The 18,386-nt window shown below is 35.9% G+C and overlaps 1 protein-coding gene and 1 long non-coding RNA gene across 35 annotated transcripts in view; one reads left to right on the top strand and one right to left on the bottom strand.

The window, feature by feature from the left end:
- HMBOX1 (homeobox containing 1) overlaps window positions 1-18,386 on the top strand; it is a 163,155-nt gene that overhangs the window by 127,546 nt on the left and 17,223 nt on the right. For all 33 annotated transcript variants that reach the window (NR_136758.2, NR_136757.2, XM_047422223.1 and 30 more), the window contains one exon: window positions 1,099-1,252. Coding sequence is in view for 31 of the 33 variants with exons in the window: in XM_047422223.1 (XP_047278179.1) it covers window positions 1,099-1,252 (154 nt within the window). In the remaining 2 variants the exon portion in view is untranslated. The remainder of the gene's footprint in view (window positions 1-1,098; window positions 1,253-18,386) is intronic.
- The window catches only part of LOC105379346 (uncharacterized), a 28,066-nt gene that overhangs the window by 2,627 nt on the left and 7,053 nt on the right, over window positions 1-18,386 (bottom strand). The window contains exon 2 of one of the 2 annotated variants that reach the window (XR_001745858.2): window positions 13,465-13,707. This is a non-coding gene — a long non-coding RNA (uncharacterized LOC105379346). Of the gene's footprint in view, window positions 1-1,251; window positions 13,708-18,386 lie in introns of those variants that run through there. The other variant, XR_007060871.1, reaches the window with a different exon arrangement.

Here is an 18,386-nt window from a genome sequence, read left to right on the forward strand (position 1 = left end):
AAGACTGCAGGACAATAGGTTTGAAAAGCAAAATCAGGATTGATTAACATTTTGGACATCTGTGTAAGAGAATACATCTAAAGATGTAGCTATTAAGAAGGGGATCTACAATAGATCTGTAAGTCTTGAAGTAGAAATGCTATCCATGGTATTATTTGCAAGGTACAATAAAGAGAGTATTAATTCTATTAGGAAGAAATAAATATTAATATCATTAACATAGAATTAACATATTTATTAATATTGCATAAACCTACATGTTCTAACATGTCTTTCTACACCTGTGTTAAGCATTTGAATTAAACTACAGGCAGAGAGAATTTTTTGAAGGTTTTTGATTAGAAGACCGATATGATCATAATTATGTTTTGGGAAGATGAATTTAACAGTGTAAGGAGTGAAAGAAGAGTGGGGTAGCCAGGGACTGAACTCTATGAAAGCATACCAAGTTACATTGAAAGTCTATGAAATAAGTTCATGGAGGTCACAGACAATGTTGCTTTCCTGGTTTTATTCTTAGCTTCTAGCCTAGAGCAAGCCACTTGAAAGGGATTTGTTAAATAGTGAATGAATGAATAAATGCATCATTGGCAGTTCAAGCTATTTGAGAAAAGAGTAATCTGAATTAGTAAAATGTCTCAATTATAGATATTTTTCATTGAAATTTTATTATGTTCAGGAGGTAACAGAATCTAGTATAGCATCAACAGGTAGACCTATGGAGACCTGATTTAGTTAGTAGACAAAAAGCATATCAAATATCATCTTATTTTCTTTCATGCTGTATTTCACTCTTTAAAAAAGAAAAGAGTTTACAAGAATTAGGGTTATTTTAAGTTTGTCTCCTACCTGCATAAATTCCTTAAGCTTATAACTTATTTGAATGGTTAGTAAAAGATTCTGAACATCTGAGGTATATTGTTCAAAAAGAGTATAACTATCAAGCAGGAATTTCAAAAGAAATTTTTCAGAGAAAGATACATTGATTAAGTTGTCACTAAGCCAAAGACCATACTTCCCTAGTCCCATAGGAAGTAGATGTTATATTGTTTTAAATAAACTGCAAGATATTTGCTAAAAGTGTCTTGTTTATTTCAGGCGCTACACTAAGTATGAGACCAGCCCCCATTCCAATAGAGGACCCTGAATGGAGACAAACGCCTCCCCCAGTCTCTGCCACATCTGGTACTTTCCGACTGCGACGAGGGAGTCGATTTACCTGGAGAAAGGAGTGCCTGGCTGTTATGGAAAGGTATGTGTCTCCTTTTTCTACGAATGATCTCCCAAACTTAGGGAAGACATCAACTCTGGATAGACTGGGACAGTTTTCATTTCAAACAAGTAACTTGGTATCTTGGTTCTATCTCTAAAAGTACTTTAGAATATCATAAATGCTGTATTATAGAAATAAGGTCATCTTAGCATTGAGAATTCATAAAGCTGGAGTTAGCATCTGTCAATTTATTTTACTTATAATAGTGTCCCCAGTAATTTAAGAAATGTTGGAATAAATATTTTTTGAATTCAGATCTTTGTATTATATTTTGGAAAAACTCTTTGAAGTCTTCTTTTCATCAAAAATAATGAATAATTGTATAGGAGACTACTGAGATTTAACTTTCCTTTAATAAGGAGTATGGTCTAAGTAAGCTTTGTCCCAAAGGTTAAAAATACTTATTTTTGACTTTGTTTTAGTAATTTATCCTCTCATTCTGTCACCAGTACCTGATCCATAGTAGGCACTCAGTGGTTTTTTTTTTAACCTGAATTTGACCGTAGCTTCAATTTTCCTATCTGAAATGGTATAAATTAATTATGATTGTGAAATGTTTGGCATACTTAGCATAGATCCTATAGTAGAATTATCTTTTTAGTCATCTACTTGTAAGTGATGTTTACAGAATTTTGTTTCAATGGAATTTTGTTTATATGCAATTAGGTAATAATGTTCCAGCTGTACATTTTTCTTATCTGACCTGACTAGTAGAATTGGTATATTGGACAGAGCACTGGACTCAGAGTCAGAAGACCTATACCCAACTAACTTTGTTTAGGTCACAAACTCTCAGCTGTAACTTCATGTCTAAAATGAAATTTTTTGATAGCCAATATGTCATCTAAGACTTTTGCCATCTCTCATCCTGCTACTTTCTGATTATTTCCCAGCTCATGAACTTCACTACCTGAAAGAGAGGGAGATTTAAAATGCCGAAATTCAGATGTTTTTGTTCATGTGATATAGTTGAAATTAATAGGTTTGCTTAAGGTGAAGGTGAGATCCAGTATCCAAAATGAGACTATAGGTTATCCACTGATGTTGTCATCTATTCCTTTCCTTGCTCTCTTTATTATAGATAAGAGCAGAAGCCATTTATTGAATAATGAATCCTTATATGCTTGAGTCATTAAAGTGAAAGAATGAGACATTATTGTCCTGGAGACCTGACATTTACAATCTGCTCTGCTTTTCTCATCTAGAAATTTTTATTCTTTTTGAAAATTTCTTTAGAACTTGGCACACAGCAGATGAGAATTAAAATAATGTCTAACTTAAATTGCAACATTGTACATTTTCCTTTAGGTATTAGTTTCTACCTGGTGCTAAGTTCTAATTGTGCTAGTGACTTAGCCAGTTAGTTTTTTTCATGAAAATACCAGTATATATTTATCACAAAATGTCATCATGAGAAAGAATTAAGTTAAAAATTGATGACATTAATATCAATAGGTGATATTCCTAATGTACTTTCAGAGTTGAACCTCAGAGACTTAGGGATTCTTATTTTCCTTGGCAGCAAGAATTAGTCACAGAATCACACGGAATTTTAATTAAAAAGATATTGAGCATTTACCCTATGACTCCTATTTAGTCTTAATTTATGTTTTTTAACATTAATTTTAATTAATAAATGGCTTTATCTAATCCAGGAGTTGGTTATCTTTGGCTTAATTTTATGTTACCTGGCACAACTAGAAAGAGGATGTGGTTTATGCCAATAGTTGCAAAAGCACAGAAAGCCTTTCAAAATACTTAATAGTACAGAAGGTCACACAGTATGATTTTTGTTCTGTAAAAATGGAACTTTTTGTTATCCAAAATGACATATAAAATTCCTATCCTTAGTATGACGCATATTTTTTTCCTTGACTGCATGGGTAAATAAATACATATGCATAGACTGTAAAACCAGCAAAGTAAGCCTTACTCAAATGTTGGTATAAGATAAAAGTAAGGCTGGACATGGTGGTTCACACCTATAATTTCAGCTTTGGGAGGCCAAGGCAGAAGGATCACTTGAGGCCAAGAGTTTGAGACCAGCCTGGGCAACATAGCAAAACCCCATCTCTACAAAAAATTCAAAAAATATCTGGGCGTGGTGGCATACACTTGCATTCCTAGCTACTCAGGAGGCTGACATGAGAGGATTGCTTGAGCCCAGGAGTTTGAGGTTACAGTGAGCTATGATTGCACCACTGCACCCCAACCTGGGCGACATAGTAAGATCCTATCTCAAAAATTAAAATGAAATTTTAAAAAAGTAAAAAATTATTCCATTCTTCATACATCAAGATAAATTTCAAATGAGTCAAAGAAGTGAATCCATATAAATAATAGAAGAAAACATGAGTGGTCCCTTCATATCCTGGCAATGGGAAAAATATTTCCTAACCATGACCCAAAATCTAAAAACAATAAAGGAAAAGATTGATAAATATGATTACATAAATTAAAAGAAAAACTTTGGAGGGAGTAAAAGCTGAGCAAAGTAAAAGACAAATTGGAAAAAAAAATTGCAACTTTTATTATCCCTAATAAAGAGCTCTTAAAAGACCAATAACTCTATCTTTATTGGGCTAAAGATAGGAGAAAAAATGCAAATGGTCCTTGAACATATGAAAATATGCTCAATCGGCCAGGCGCGGTGGCTCATGTCTGTAATCCCAGCACTTTGGGAGGCCGAGGCGGGCGGATCACGAGGCCAGGAGATCGAGAGCATCCTGGCTAACACAGTGAAACCCTGTCTCTACGAAAAATAGAAAAAAAAAAATTAGCCGGGCGTGGTGGCGGGCACCTGTAGTCCCAGCTACTCGGGAGGCTGAGGCAGGAGAATGGCATGAACCCAGGAGGCAGAGCTTGCGGTGAGCCGAGATCGTGCCACTGCACTCGAGCCTGGGTGACAGAGCGAGACTCCGTCTCAAAAAAAAAAAAAAAAATGCTCAATCTAATTGATAGTAAGAGAAATTCAAATTAAAACTACATTGAGATACTATTCTTCACTTATTACATTGACAAAAATCCAAAAGTTTGGCAACATTTTATATTGATTGGGCTGTAGAGAAACAGACACTCTCATACGTTACTTGTAGAAATGCAAAATGAAACAACTTAATGGAAGGGAATTCGGCAATATCAAGGAAAATTACCTATGAGTTTACCCTTTGACTTGACATTCCTACTTCTAGAAAATTATCTTAGGGCCAGTGGGTCACACCTGTAAATCCCAACCTTTTGGGAGGGCTGAGGTGAAAGAACCACTTGAGGCCAGGAGTTTGAGACTAGCCTAGGCAACATAGTGAGACCCCATCTCTATAAAAAATACAAAAAATTAGCAAGGCGTGGTAGGGCATGCCTGTAGTCCCAGCCACTCGGGAGGCTGAGGCAGGAGGATTGCTTGAGCCCAGGAGTTTGAAGCTGCAGTGAGCTATGATCACACTACTGCACTTCAGTCTGGGTGACAGAGAAAGACCCTATCTCAAGAAGAAAAAGAAGAATCTTAAAGATATACTGGCAAAAATATGAAAAGATAACAGCACTGTTTTTACTAATTTCAAAATACAGAAGATGACCTAAATGTCTATTTGTAGTAACTATGTCAATAAATTATAGCACATCCATGTATTGGATGTTGAAACCCATGTAGTGGAGTACTATGCAGCTAAAGAACAAAAAACTCTGTATACAGTGATCTCCAGGATATAACATTAAGTTTAAAACAAGGCAGAATCAACTGTATATAATACAAAGCTGTCATTTATGTATTTGCTTATAACTTATTTTAAAATGGAGGAATAAACCATAAAATAAATGGTTATCAATAAAAGAGAAACAACTTAGAAGAGAGGTAGAAGCTAGATTTCTCGGAAAATACTTTGTTTTGACCTGTAACTAAATTACGTAATTATATATCAAAATTTAAAATCAGGGAAAAAATGGGGGGGAGGGGGGGAGGTGACCTTTAAAAAATAACTAAAATTAAACCTGTATATCAAAATAGTGCCTTAAACACCCAAGAATTATCTCAAATGTGTTTATAACACAGTAATTTCCTATACTTCCCAAGTGGGAAACAGCTTAAGAATAAAAAGAAACACCAAAAAAATCTTACACTGTTTCTACTAAATTTGGTATTATAGATACTGCTATTCAGGTACTATTTTTATTTACATAGCTAGATAGGTATAGATATAGATGTAGGTACAGATAAAACAAATAGTCATATTAGAGTTATTAGGAACCAAGATTGTCAGTGCAAAGGAAAAGAGAAATATAAAATCAAAAGATTTAAATAAAATACTGTAGTCTTCTGTATGTTTGCATAGAGATAGAAATTTATCTTGATTTAAAAAAAACAGCCTTAATGAGATACAATTCATCTATTTAAAGTGTACAATTTAATGCTTTTTAGTATATTCACAGAATTATGCAACCATAACCTCAGTCAATTTTAGAACATGTTTATCAGCTCCCTTCCCTTTTTGAGACAGGGTCTTGCTCTGTTGCCCAGGCTGGAGTTCAGTGGCATGATCATAGCTCACCACAGCCTCAACCTCCTGGGCTCAGGTCTTTCTCCCATCTCAGCCTCCTGAGTAGCTGGGACTACAGGCATGTGCCACCATGCCTGGCTAATTTTTATATTTTTGTAGAGACAGAGTTTTGCCATGTTGCCTAGGCTGGTATTGAACTCCTGGGCTCAAGAGATCCACCTGCCTCAGTCTCCTACAGTCCTGGGATTATAGGTGTGATCCACCGCTACAGCCCCAATTTTAGTAACCATAAGATTGATCAGTGAATTCAGTGTTACCTTCTTGATTCACTTATTAAAAAATCCCCTATTAACCATCTACCTAATAGTTTTAGAGCATTGATTATTAAATCTGGATGCATATTAGGATCACCCGAGGAGCTTTTAAAACTATCAGGGGGCTTCACCCCTGATGGACTGAATCTTAATCTCTGGGTGTAGAGCCTAGGCAGAGATATATTTTGAAAAGTTTCCAAGTGATTCTGAAGTGTAGGCTGGACTGAGAATCACTGTTTTGTTATCTATCGACGATTGTTTCCCAATCATTTTTCCATAAGGAGTCACAAGTTGTTGTATTGAAATTTATTTCTTGTACATTAATCAGCTGGAATTCTTCTGTAAAGAACTTTCCCTCATCAACAATTTGGTTACCCTGAAATGTACTCCCTCACAAATGTGTGGCAGCAGGGAGGGAGCTAACATGTAAGTAATTATGGAACTGAGAAGTGAATGCTATTATGACAAAAGGAGCATGTAGAGAAAAGAGGAAAACTACACCAAAGTGGTAACATTTTGGGTGCATTCAGATGAGGGATAGGAGTTCATGAGTTAGAGAATCTGAGAAAAGGCATTATAATGTTAGGAGCATTCTTACTTTGATTATTCAGAACTTGGTTATACTGTGCATTCTATAATTAAACAAGCACCGTGGTTAATTATACCGTAAGTGTTGGCATTCGGGCCTTATGTAGGAGATGTATCTGATTAGATTGGTCTGTTAGATAATAGCGGTAGGAGTGTGGATAATGGACAAGAAATCAATCAAGTATGTATTTTAACACATACTACATGCATATAATCAGGGGGAAATAAATGTAAAATAAAATGTAAAATATATTTAAGTTATAATATCTGCCTTCATAAATCTTAAGGCAGTAATAGCTTACATTTGAATAGGAATTTAATTACTATACAGTTACTGATTTTATTGATAATTATACGAAATTATTTTTATTTAATCTTCACAATTCTATACTGTAGGTATGTTATTATTTGCAGTTTATATATAAGAGCCTCAGAGAAAGGAAGTGACTAACCCATATGCAAATGGATTAGAGCAGGGGTCCCTAACCCCTGGGCTGTGGACCTCCACACAGTAGGAGGCAAGTGGCAGCAGAGCAAGCATTACTGCCTGAGCTCCACCTGCTGTGAGATCAGCAGCAGCATTAGATTCTCATAGGAGCTCGAACTCTTCATTTTCATCCCTAAACCACCCTCCCTACCCCCCACCCCGTCGGTGGAAAAATTGTCTTCCACGAAACTGGCCTCTGGTGCCAAAAAGGTTGGAGAACACTGGAGTAGAGGAGGAATAGATGGAGGCCAGCTTAGGAAGCTATTAGAGTAACCTATGCATGACTGCTGAGGGTCTAAGCTATATTGTAAAAGCAAAAGGATAGAAAATGGATAAAAAGTGATAGATATCAGAAAAAAAATGGAAGAAAAACAATCTAACCTAGTCACACATTGAATGACAAAGCAGGAAATATGTAAGAGTTGAGCATAGTGATAGTCAGAGAGCCTCTGGGAGACAGTACCTGCCATTAGAAAATGCTTTCACTTTGGGCAAATCATTCAGCATCTCTGGGCCCCAGGTGCCACATTTATGAAGAGTTAAATATCATGATGAAGTAAAAAGACAGACTTCAGAGCCACACAGACTTAGGAATTAGTCACAGCTTCACTTTATGTTAATCTGTGGGAATTTCAGCTTTCTATAAAGTGGAGATGGTTATTATGAGAAGAGTTATGAGAATTATTTGAGATAATATGTGCAAATCACACAGTAGAATGCCTTTCTCATAACCATTGTTAGACCAGTGTTCTTTTTCCATCTAAGCTTCTTCTAGTTTAATGCTTTGACTGTGAAGTCACCTCAAGATTTCTGTGTTAGAGAGTTCAGTGGCACTAGAAATGGAGATTTGGGAGTCATCAATATATTAGGTACAGTTAAAGCCATGAGTGTGAATAAACTCTGGTTAAATATATCCATTTATACAGTTCCTGCATTTTTGCAGCGAAATGTGGCTGGAGAAAAACTTAAAACCCTGCTGACTGATCTCATTTTAAATTCATGACCGCTAACCTCAAGTGGGTCTTTAATTCTGCCAAGCAGAATTAATACTATACCTTTCTGGTTTATTTTTTCCCACTCTCCTGTAAGATTATTTCACACTTTCTTCTCTCTGTGCAAACTCCCCATCCTCATTCTCTTATGATGACCTTGCTCATCATGAACGGAAATGAGGAAAATCAAGCAATCAGAGGAGACTGTCCACAAACTACCTACTTGCTACCATGTACACACACACACACACACACACACACACACACACACACAGTTTTCCTGCCTCTTAACATACCCAGAGCACTTCAATGATATGTATATTTCCTAGCGTGTGTCTTGGTGCATCATTCATATATATGTGCATTTTCTCCTTCTCTGACCTCATTCCACTGTGTATTCCACATATTTGACTTCTAAAATATCCAATTCCAAAAACATTTATTGTCACAAAGGACAATATTGTGTGATTCCATTTATATGAAGTATCTGGAGTAGGCAAACCTATAGAGACAGAAAGTAGATAAATGTGTTACCTAGGGCTAGGGGAGGATAGGGGTGTTGGGTGGGGGATGTGATGGCTAAGGGGTATGTGTTTCTTTTTGGGGTGATGAAGATTTGTAAAATCAGTTGTGGAGGTGCTTGTACAACTTTGTGAATATGCTGAAAACTATTAAATTGTATGCCTTAAATAAGTGAAGTTTTTGATATATGAATTATATCAAGCTGCTTTAAAAAAAGGCATTTATTCAGTGCACTGTTAGAAGCTTCACATATACTTACCCTCCATATTTAATCCTCACTGCAGGCCTGGTTTTTCCTTTTTCTAATGAGGCAGTCAAGGCTCAAAGAGGTTGAATAACTAACTTCCTAAGACCACAGAGCTAACAAGTGTCCCAGTCACATGTGGATGTTTAGCCAGTGCTATTCACAGATTTGAGTTCTTATTAACTAAGAAGAATGTTATTTTAATTTGGGTATATACTGATGGTTTTTAATTTGTGGACTTGGGCTTCGTTAACTCTAAAGTCTGATGTCCCTAGATTAATATATGTTACAACCTTCCATTTGTTTAAGAGCATATGGGGATTATAACAGGGAAAAGATGAAACAAGAATGGCAAAATGGTTGTTAATTGTTGAAGCTGGTATGTAGGGGGTTGTGGGTTTATTATATTTGTGTGGGTTTAAAATTTTTATAATTAAAAAGGATTTTGTTGTTTTTAAAGAGGACCTGACTAGATTTTAATGGATAAAATATATAATTGACTAATATTTATTCTTTTTTTAATAAAGCATTTGCTGTGTGTTAGCACTAACCTAGGCTTACCTTAAGTAGTTTACATATTCTCAAGGGGAAAAAAAGTCATCTGTAGTGTATGTCTGAAATATCTGCATATGCAAATAATGTGATTCTACAATGCTCAAACGTGATTCTGCAAACCTAACTGTCCATTTGTTCATTCATTCAATGAAGTACTTACGGGCTGTGAGGCAAAGTGCTAGGGATAGAAAGAACAGATACATTTAAGGGTGAGAAGAGTGAAAGGAGTAGATCTGAAGAGAAGGTTTTTGTCAGAAGTGTTGAAGGCTTCATGGCCTAGGAGAGTGACTTCTAATGTACTCTTTCCTTACTAATCTTTCAGCATTTTGGGCTACATATTCCTTTATCTTTGGAAACAGGTGTGTCTCTGGAGCATTAGTGTATGTGACTGGGACACAAAAGAATAAGACCTGGCTATTGCACCTATTCTAGTCTCAAGGGAGGAAGGTAAAATAAGCCTCCAAATCTCCTTATAGGTTTTTCAACCCAACTAAGCAAGAAGGAAAGAGAAGCAACAACTTGGAAAAAAGCTTTGACTGGATGCAGGAATAAATGTGAGAATACCTAGCAGTGATAGGTAGAAGCAATAGAATATAGTGGTTAATAGTACCAGCTTGGGGGCCAAATTTGTGTGGAAAGGTTACTGATTGCTATAATTTTTAATCGAAGTGGCTGAATGATGACCCTGTATTTGGGTGTATCCAGGAACATGCAAATTAAATGCTAATGAAGGCAAATGAATATCTCTGTTTGTGTTTGTAATTAAAACTATTGCGTGTTTTATTTTTCTTATGGATAAGTATATTGAATGTGTTTTTGTTATTAAATTCTGTCCATGGTCATCTTCAGTGAGCAATATAAAACAAAATCATTAGTAAAGCCTAGAACCCTCTGAAATTATACAGAAAATATTTTGTTTTTGTTGTTTTAACCCCTGTCAGTCTCCAAAACAGCTTTAAAAAATTAATCCAAAATATTCTCCCGGGCAAGGAATCAGCATTAAAAATTTTAGCTTGAGAGTATCTCTTTCCCCCAAATTTAAGCATCTAAAAATGAGGTCTTAGAATAAAAGTGTGTCTTCATGAACAAAAATAGCATCACAACCACAATACTATAACGAACCAAAATTATATCATAGTTTTAAATTTGGTGTCACTGCTGTTAACCTGACATGTATAAAATCTGAATTAGAGACATGCATCTCTAGTAACCAAGTGGATTTTATTCAAGGATGCTATACATCCTGGGAGAACTAGCATGGAAGAGACAAATCAGCTTGTAAAGCGATTTCTAGAACATTGCTTGAGGTTTCTGTAATTTAATTTTCTTGGTTTTCACTGCATTTTGGAATTCTTCCCAGGACAGTTTATTAGTACATAGACTTTGGTTTCAGTCTCTTTCCTTTCTCCTCTTTACTTTTAATTTTTTCAGTGAAGGTTAAGACTAACAGTTCCAGAAACTAAATTCTATATTTAACTGCAGTCTGGGTGTGGTTCAGACAACTGCAGTGCAACTTGCCTAGTGTTTTGCCAGTCATCAAAACCCTGACCTGCAAAGAACATTCCTTTTCCTAGTCTTCTGACTCTGAACTATGCTGAGTGATGATATGATGATCTGCAGTAATACTTTCATATGTGTAAATAATGACAAAAGAGACTCATAGGTTCAAGCTTCAAGTGACTGTGGAAGATCAGTTTCTTCTGTGCTCTTTTATAGCAATCTCTGAATAATATTAACCTGCCCTATTTTCCTAGTGTCACTTCCTGTTATTCTTTTATTACCTTTATTAACCACAGTGAGATTTTTTAAATATTTACCCAGGAAGCTCTCTCCACTTCTGCTCTCATTTCATGAAGCTATGTTTTCATTTAGTATATTTTTTCTTCTTGTTTGCTTTATATAATTTGAGGCTTTCTTGTCATTTAAAAATGAAGAAATAACTTCTAGTAGGATTTTCCGCCTATTAAAAAAACACTCTACTTCTTGAAGAGAATCCTGTTACTTTGCAAAATGCAAAAATAATCATGTTTTTCTTCCTTAGCAGTATCCTCAGTTTGTTATGGCATTGTGATAGTGATGCTATTTTGTTTATATCCTTCATTATTTTGTATAATGTTCCAATATTTATATCACTTATGCAGAAATCTATGGAGTTAGAGACCCTTTTAATGTCAGTAAGATTACACCTAGCCAGAGAAATAATTAGAGCAGAAATACTTATAAATCCTTTCTAATATTGCTCTTCTGAAACATTAAAACCTATCTGGATGTTTCTTTGGACAGCAGCTTGTGTCATGTGAACAATAAGTGACTTTTGCTCTTGTTGTACAAAAAAATATAAATTGCATCTACTGACCACTGATTCCATTTAAGCAGTCCAGGTGTAAGCTGAGAGCCTTCGTTTGATTTCATTTACCTATATTTGGTCACCATTACTGCAAAGAATAAGGAAGTGACCCTAAAGATCATCTAGTTCAGTTTGTTGTTTAGATCAAGAACCTGTAATTCAAAGAGACTAATTAACTTGGTTACATTCACAGAATAAATGAGATTAAGTTGCTTATTTTGAGAACTTACGGTTACGGGAACCGTAAAATATGATTTGAAGAATAATTCTACTCATTGAACTTCTCAGCCCTTTATCTTCCTTAACTTTTATGTGGTAAACATTTATTGACGGTTGCTAAGGTTTAGACTAAGAATTGGGACACAGAGATGAGGAAGACAAAAGTCCTTATTTCATTTAACCCAAATTTCTTCTCTTTGTACTTCTTGTTTCTCTTAGGCCCCCTTATTATTATTACTATTATTATCTTTTTTTTTGCTTTTGTTCCTAAACTCCTTTCTGTATCTTCCTCTTCCTTACCTTCTGGTACTTTAGTTTGCCAAAAAGACTTCTGTTTATTTCTTTTTCTTTTCTTTTACACTTACTTCTTTTAAGCACACCCTCTACCCTCCAACTCTGTTGTTAGTTTTGTTGATTATAATGTAAAACTGAAGTATATGCTTTAGCATATCTTATATTTTCTGAATAAAGTATTAGGTTCCAGTTTTTTTTTTTTTTTTCATGTAAAAAGCAAATTGGTCAATACCTTTTGTTTTTTTGAGACGGAGTTTTGCTTTTGTTGCCCAGGCTGGAGTACAATGGCGTGATCTCAGCTCACTGCAACATCCGCCTCCCAGGTTCAAGTGATTCTCCTGCCTCAGCCTCCCGAGAAGCTGGGATTACAGGCATGTGCCACCCCAGGCCCAGCTAATTTTGTATTTTTATTAGAGACGGGGTTTCTCTATGTTGGTCAGGCTAGTCTTGAACTCCCAACCTCAGGTGATCCGCCTGCCTTGGCCTCCCAAACTGCTGGGATTACAGGTGTGAGCCACAACGCCCGGCCGGTCAATAACCTATTTTTAAAATCAATTAGTAAATGTTATGTAATTTCTTAAAATGTCCTTCAAGTTATTAAAATTATATCACTCTATGATTCTAAATAATTTCCTGTTTTTGCGTAGAGCCTTTGTTTTCTCTGAGATTCTGTGGCTTTGGATAAGAAATTATTTCCCACCCTAGAATTAAATCTTTGGAAAATAACTGATTCTTAGTATAACAACATGAACAGACTAACTTCAAAAAACAAAATCACGTCCATAACTAAGCTCTGGCAGAAGAGCAGTTCTTCAGGACTGTGTTTTAATGCATATTCTCATGATCTATCTTAATACTTTGTTTAGCAATCAGCTTGGATTGTGGTTCCCTCAGTTTTTATGGTTATGCATTATAGAAATGAAATATCTTGAGGTTGCTGCAATCTGAAAATGGAAAGAAATTATTGTTCACCTACCTTTTTATCAGTCTAGGTAGTTAGAATTGCTTCCTTCTTCCTTATAAATGAGAAAACTAAAAACTCACCTTCCTACTGCTTAGAAGAAATCACCTTCTTTTATTTTTCAGTTTATCTCTAAAACTTGTTTCAGTGCCTTACAGTTGCAAAAAGAACTTACATTTCATTTTCTTCTTTATTATGTTGCTGCTGAATTGAGCGAACTAGCTGAGGATATCTTCTTCATATCTCATATCAAAGAGCCCATGTGTCTGACCAAGATGGTGGTTATATTTGGATAGGAAATTCAGCGAATGTTTTTCCAGCTTCTTTACATTCAACTCTGATAGCTTTGTAGCAAGTGGCTAAGTCAGTGATGATGAATTTATTAAGTAGAATATCATTGTAAGATGACAGATATGGCCTATGTAAATTTGAAGAAAATATAAATGAAATAATGTTAAGCAAAAGAAGAAACAGTATATTATTATAATAACGTAAAAAGCCATAAATATCCAAAGATAAATATTGAGAGAAATAAATAATTTACCTTATATATTTAATAGTCTGTACATTTTTTTCTTGTCATTTTTTTTTTTTCTGATGACATAGTGGTTAAAAACACAGACTTTGGAGTTAGAACAACTGGTGCTCCAGGCCCTACCCTCTTACTCACCAGCTATGTGTCCTTATGGAAATTGCTTATTATAAATGACTTTAATAACCATACCTATCTAATAGGAGTACTTTGGTATGGCTTTAGGAACATACCTTTTCTAATAGTGTTGCTCCTCAACACTGTGCCCCGTGCTGAGGAGTGTGGAAAGATTAGCTCCTAGCCCTGGCAGGCTCAGTCCATTGGAGGAGTCAGGTTAAAAATGTCATGCAAGAGATGTGTACCAAGTACAATAAGGACACAGGAGAGTGGTGCAAGGAAAGGAAACCCTGAGGTGACAGTGGAGTGGGGTCCTGGAGAGCAGTACAGTTTCAATGAGGTGAGAAGAGGAAGAATGACATGGCCAGTAGTGGGAGCACCATGTGCAAAGGCACAGAGGCTGGAAAAATGAGGCTGCTGAGTGTCTGCTCAGTTGGGTGGGAAATGAGGCTGAGTGAGTAGGTTGCAGCCAGATTGGGAATGACCTTACATTGCGACATTTGCAACATTTGTCTTTCGCAAAGCATCCTATTTGTATCTATGTGAAGTAAGTTCTTTTAATAACCAAAAAACATTTTTCTTCATCAGTTTTTGGGGTTGTTGGTGCCACTTTTCTCCCAGATATAAAACAGAAGTAGTAACTCTTTCATGCCAATGATTCAAACTTTTTTGGGGGTGGGAGGAGGGGGGTGGATTTTCTGTTAATATTTGTAAAACATCCTGGGAATTAAAAAATTGAAACTGTTTTGAAAAATCTTTCTAGCCTTCTTTAAGACAGAAGCCTAAGTAAGATTCTCCTTTCTACATGATCAAGGAAACATCTTGAAATTCCAGTCATTTTCAATTAGAAAAAAAAAAAATCTTTTGATCAATTTTTTTTTCCTGCTGATTTGTGTTACACAGGTACATTGTTAACAAAAATTATAAAATTCAGTTTTTCTTTAACTGACTTCTATTATAAAGGTGCATTGCTAGGATGAAAATTTGGGCAATATCTTTGCCAGAATGAATTATTTCACCATCTGCTAAGTAAAGTTGACTTGGTATTTCAGTGGTGCAGTTTTTATGCTCCTTTGGGCTAGGGTTTGGTTATACTCGGCTGGTCTATAGGCTGGCATAGTGCTGTATGTAAAGTCTGATATTACAGAGTGTCACTTGAACTTGATTGAATATTTAAGAAGATCCTATAACTTTAACAAAATTAGAAAATATTACCACCCTCTTTCCCCCACCGTACATGTTAGACTCAAGGTGGGAGATACGGTAGTGCAGTATTTTCTAATTTTGTTAAAATCGTAAGGCATTCAAATCAATTCGATGATTGATAATAATAATCAAAAGATTTAAAGTGATCCAATCAAAATGACTCAAAAAACAGGAAAATTACTTTTGAATGCCTCAGTGTTGTTTTCCTTAGAACATTATATCATTCTCATCCATTAAAAAAACATTTTGTGGGAGCAGAGTTGAGTCCTTTAAAATGTGATGTTTGTCCTGGCCTATAATGAATGAGGATGTAAAACGTGCACTCTGCCCTCCCTTAGGCTGTTTTGCCACCACCGCAACCCCTGGCAAGCTGGTCTTCCTTCCTGTCTCTTCTGATGTCATTGCTGTTCTAAGAGAACATGCTGGAAGAATACACTATAAATTTTGGGATTAATTATGCCGGAAGTTGTATTTTAAAAGAAGTTTATCCTCTTTTATACTCCTTATGGAATGACTCGGGTGGAACATAATGAACTACACCTCCTGTATCTCTCTACAAATAGAAGGCAGTTCTTAACATTTAAATAGACAGCAGGAGCCTGGACATGACCTCATTTCAATCCATTAGACTATTTGAGGAAAAAACAACAAAATTTTCCCACTTATTGACAGGTAAAGTTATCCCAATCCATTTCTCATAGCCAGTAAGAAGATGAACTGTGCTTAAATGTATTTTAAAATTGGCAAATTATACTTCCTGGTTCCTTTTTGGTCAAACAGAAATAGCCAGAAGAGAAATTATCATGATGTTTTTGAGGCAGATTAAAATTTTTCTCTATCCTCATAGAGATGCTTTGCTAGCAGTTTCATTTTGTACAAATGGCATACCCCTTATTTCTCTAGTCCCCAAGCCAATTAAACAGGGCAAAAGACCCCACGTTCCTCATACAATGTTCTGTGGCCGCAGTTTACAAATAAATGAAGCACAGTTAGGTAAATACTGGTGTTGTATATAATGAGTGACCAATTAAGTATATGATTCATCCCAGAGCAGAATTCTAGGCATCATATTATAAACATTAATACCAAGGGAGATCAACTTATAGACGAATTGGAAAATCTTCACAGAAAACTAGTGAGCCTTCAAAAACTCAAGCAAATATTTATTGAGCTTCTACTTTGTACCAATCATTGTAATAGATAACTGAGCAATACAGTAATTAACAAGACAAATGTGGTTCTGGCCTTAATGGCATTAAGAAATCATTATTGTTATACTAAACATTCACAACATGTACAGAGGCTTATATATGTGTTTGGTGTTTGAAGATCTCAGTTGGTAGGATCTGAACTTGTTGGTGAATATCCAAGTTTGGTTGAGGAAACTTGAATGGACTGTGTTAGTTTAGTGGTAGGAGGCATCTAAAAGTGGTCTTAGAGTATACTTTGAAAACCTAGGAGTCCTGATTATAGTAGTGTCTCATCCAAATATTCTATTTAATTGGTTCCTACTTTGACACGTCGTCCATGAAATTAAAAGGCCAGATTAAGCTATGTTTCTGTCCTTCTTGACATTATTATGTAATTGTCATCATCTTACTAGGTTTGTCATCAAAATATTTTTGCTCTGCAGTGTGACTGTGAAGAAATTTATTTAGCTTGTATACAATTGGTAAGATAACTTTCCAGCTCTGTCAGTATTAATATAAGTAGCATAATTTTTGGTCAAATGTTATCAGAATTAATTTGGCTTTTCAAGAGGCAATTGAGGGCCAGGCACGGTGGCTCACACCTGTATCCAGCACTTTGGGAGGCCAAGGCAGGTAGATGACCGGAGGTCAGGAGTTCAAGACCAGCCTGGCCAACATGGTGAAACCCTGTCTCTACTAAAAATACAGAAAAATAGCCAGGCATGGTGGTGCATGCCTGTAATCCCAGCTACTTGGGAGGCTGAGGCAGGAGAATCACTTGAACCCGGGAGGCGGAAGTTGCCATGAGCTGAGATTGCGCCATTGTACTCCAGCCGGGGCAGCAGAGTGAGACTCCATCTCAAAATAAAATAAATAAATAAATAAAGGCAATTGAGGACTCATTTATCTATATCCTGGTAGTTTGATTGACTCCCACCTAAAACAGCAGCAAACCTAAGAAAAAAGAAGTAGAAGTCTAGGTTTAAGAAAAAGTAATAAGTACCCATGTGTACAAAGTATTGTGTTTCTCCCTCCGCCTTCAGAGATATATCAAGATAATCCCAGACCAGTGCACCTCTGATTCTTAAAAGAATCTATGCTATTCTCCATGCTTGGTTTGCTGCTTGTTGAGAGAAAGAATTTGGATTGATCCCTGGGAGGACCAGTTCTCATTTTAGATACAGACAATAGCCTTTTAGTCAGAGGTAGTCATTTTGCAGAAGCATAGTATTGATCATAAGAAAAACCATGCAAAAAAACAATGGATTGATCCTTATCAATCCTGTTCTGTTGATCTCCATGTTATAATAATTATTGGTCAGTCGTGTCAGGTTTGTAAGTGACCAGTTTATAATTCAGCACTTTTAAAAAAAAGAATAGTCTCCCTGCCTTGGGACACCTTGTACACCAGGAATAAGAAACTTAATTCTAGGTCACCTTACAAACCTCTTTGGTAAACCTACCTCCTACCAGTGAAGGCTGACAAAACTGAGAAAGCAAGATGCAGCTGCCATCTAGCTAAAGTGGAGCAAATGCAGGAAGGAGTATACTACTGCCATTGCCCTAGGAGTTTGTGAACTGGTTAAGTGCAGTTTACTCAAATAGTAGATGGGACTTAGGTACCACGGTTTCCGCTGGTATGACCTTAGTTGTCACTCACATTTGGTCGTTTCATTAGGAAACTAGGAAATCCACAGACTAGCAAAACCAAACACTGCCCTCTTGTGCATGTTCTTTTTCTTCATTATTTAAATAAAATGGAGAGCTAAGCAAATACTTGCTAAATTCAGCGGTAGTCAAAAGACATGTTTCAGGAGAAATACTGTTTCTCAGTTTTTCTTTAAGTTGGTTCGAATTTGTCAGTTTTACTGTTTTTGTGTGACACCTCTAGAAAATTATCTCCATTCTTTTCATGTTCTTCATAGACATGATTAAAAGATAATACACATTAAAAGGAAAACCAATTGTTACATAGTAATAAGACTCACACCAAACCTCTAATATGGTAAGCACTTCATTTAGGGCTGCATGTTTTAGGACAAGTGATAGCCT

This window comes from Homo sapiens, chromosome 8, assembly GCF_000001405.40.
Source record: "Homo sapiens chromosome 8, GRCh38.p14 Primary Assembly".
Classification (NCBI taxonomy): domain Eukaryota; kingdom Metazoa; phylum Chordata; class Mammalia; order Primates; family Hominidae; genus Homo; species Homo sapiens.